The sequence below is a fragment of the Homo sapiens genome, chromosome 5 (genome assembly GCF_000001405.40).
Source record: "Homo sapiens chromosome 5, GRCh38.p14 Primary Assembly".
Classification (NCBI taxonomy): Eukaryota; Metazoa; Chordata; class Mammalia; order Primates; family Hominidae; genus Homo; species Homo sapiens.
The window spans coordinates 63,299,735-63,302,659 of NC_000005.10; the positions used below are offsets into that span (position 1 = coordinate 63,299,735).

A 2,925-nucleotide genomic window follows, 5' to 3' on the forward strand; every position below is an offset into this window, starting at 1 on the left:
GGAAAGTTCATGTCTCAATTTCCCTTAGTTTTCCATTTTTAAGGGCTATGATCTGATCTACATAATAATATAAAAAATGGAAATAAGTAAATTGAAGCTTTTTTAGTGGAATAAGGATATATTACATTATTGAGCATTACTAAGTGCCAGACAACAATCCTTGTCCTCATGGAGCTTAGATTCCAATAGGAAAAAATAAAAAATAAACATATATATATAGAAGTTCTATGATAGGTACTATAAAAACATAGATCAAAGTTAAACATTGGTTGTGGCAGAAGGTGAGATAAGGCATATGTGGTCATGGCAGGCCTCATTGGAAAGGTGATAAGTGAGTAGGAAGAGCTGCCCAAGAAAGTTTTTTCCTCCCTTGAGTGTGGATTATTGAGGGGAAGGATGCTGCCTCTCTATTGATGAAGAGAAAATCTTTTCTTACCTTTGGTTTTATTGAGTGTAATGACAAATGATTTGAAACTGTTTGACATTCCTAGTCACTCAAATAAATGTAGAATTTGAGTAACTGGATCTGACATACACTCTTTAAAGTGTTAAGTCAGAAGCATGATGCTATGGGCTGAATTATGTCTACCCCAAATTTATATATATGTATATGTATGTGTGTACGTGTGTGTATATAAAATATCTTATCTTTCCTGCCGATTTTTCTTCCCTGGTTGAACCCTAAATGACAACTTACAAAAAACAAATGAGACTTTTTTTCTAAGAGTGTACAAATTACCATTTGATTAGATAATTCAATCATATATCAGTAATCAATTTAGATCAATTTCAAAATAGTTAATTTGTTATGTATACACTCTAAGAATGAAAGATTCTATGAATATGTTATACATTTTCCCAAAAAGAATGAATTTCAAACCAAAAGAGTAGCATATGCCTTCCGGGAAAATAAACTGTTTCTGAAGTCAATAATTTATTCTTTGCTCATAGCAAGCGTACATCCTTCCCAACTTAAAATAATCAAAAATTTCAATCAAACTTACTTTCACCTTAGACCCTTTCCTCTTCTTCATTGGTCTCTCAGAATTATAGCTTACACCCATAGTTTCAATTTTTTCACTTTTCATTTACTCCTCAGTCATTAACATTTGGCTTCCATTCTTAAAACTCTACCAAAATAATCCTTGATGATTGCTTTGCCATTAAATGACTGTATTTAATGATCACTTTACGTGACCCCTCAGCATCACTCAATAATATTGTCCCCTTCTTCTTTCCGGGAAATCTTTCTTTCCATTTGCATCAATGACATCACAATCTGGTTTTCCTACTGTTTCCAGATTACTCTTTTTCTGACCCTTTTTCTTTTTTTTTTCATGTAATACCATTTTAATAAGCCATGTATGTTTATTATTTAATTACATGTTTGTTATGCACAAACTGCTCTTATACAGTTCTGTTAGCCAGTATAATAACGTTTTTAACTTTGTCGATAACAAACTTGTATTTGTAATGTAACATATGCTGTGCTCTAGTCTAAAAATTGGTGCTTAAACTGTTCACTAATTTAATTATGTAGGATGCAATATGTTCCAAAATCCAGTGCACTTAATTGTATTTAAATTTGGTTTTCATTTAAGATCCTCACATGCTAAGAAGTAGAGCAGCCTTGTAGAATTGATCCTTTCTCATTTGAAGCCAAGTCTGATCATCTCTTGACACCCAGGTTGGGCTGAATGCAGAGGATGGGTCTTAGTTTTTTTTTTTTTTTTTTATTCAAAGAGCATTGCATCTTTCCTAACTCAAGTAGTTTCTATCCTCATTTCAGACCTCCAGCTTGACTACTCATTAACAGATGAGTTCTGCAGAAACCACTTCTTGGTGGGACTGTTACTGAGGGAGGTGGGGACAGCCCTCCAGGAGTTCCATCTGATCGCCATCAGTGTGCTCAAGAACCTGCTGATAAAGCATTCTTTTGATGACAGATATGCTTCAAGGGTGAGTGGTCCCCAATGGAAGGAATGTGCATTAATAATGTCCTTTATTTTAAGTGGTGTAAAGAAAGTAATCAGTTAGAAAATTCATGGTAACAGCACTAAGATTTTGCTCTGTTTTGGGACTAAAATCAAATATCTGTCTTTATAGGAAGGATCCAAATAAAGGAGATGGTCAGCGCCAACTTAGTTCGGTTCTCAGAATCCTGGGCCAAACTTACCATGTATGTCTTCTTTTCAGAGTCATCAGGCAAGGATAGCCACCCTCCACCTGCCTCTGTTTGGTCTGCTGATTGAAAACGTCCCGCGGATCAATGTGAGGGATGTGTCACCTTTCCCTGTGAACGTGGGCATGGTACGTAAGCGTGGTCACGTCAACTCAGCCTATATCGGGTCCCAGGGAAGCCAGGAAAAGTGCCATAAGCTGGGTGGCTTAGAGCAGCAGCAATTTATTCTCTCCCAGTCAGGAGTCCAGAAGTCCAAAATCAAGGTGTTTCTGACCCTTTTTCTAGCTTATAAATCTCTGATTATACTTTAATGGACTATACATTTCTCTCATGATGAACACTCTAAAAAGGAAAAATTCTAGGAATACATTATGTATTTTCTAAAAAAGAATGAATTTCAAAAAAAGTAGCATACGCCTTCTGGGAAAAGAAACTGTTTCTGAAGTCAATAATTTATTCTTTGCTCATAGCAAGCTTACATCCTTCCAAACTTAAAACAATCAAAAACTTGGATCAAATTTACTTTCACCTTAGACCCTTTCCTTTTTCCTTTAGCTCCTCAAGTTTCAGCCATCTTTTTCCTTCCTTTTTAATATTCTCTTCTTAGGAACATATCACACATGCATGGCTTTCCTATCCAACCATATGCCAATGACTCTAAAATGTGTATCATCACCTAATGTTTGACCTTTTAATCCAACCATGTCTTTAATATCTTGACTCAGTTTTCTCAAAAACACCTC

At 35.4% G+C, this 2,925-nt stretch overlaps 1 pseudogene; it reads left to right on the plus strand.

The window, feature by feature from the left end:
• On the plus strand, window positions 1,788–2,310 carry LOC100420027 (dedicator of cytokinesis 9 pseudogene; annotated as a pseudogene).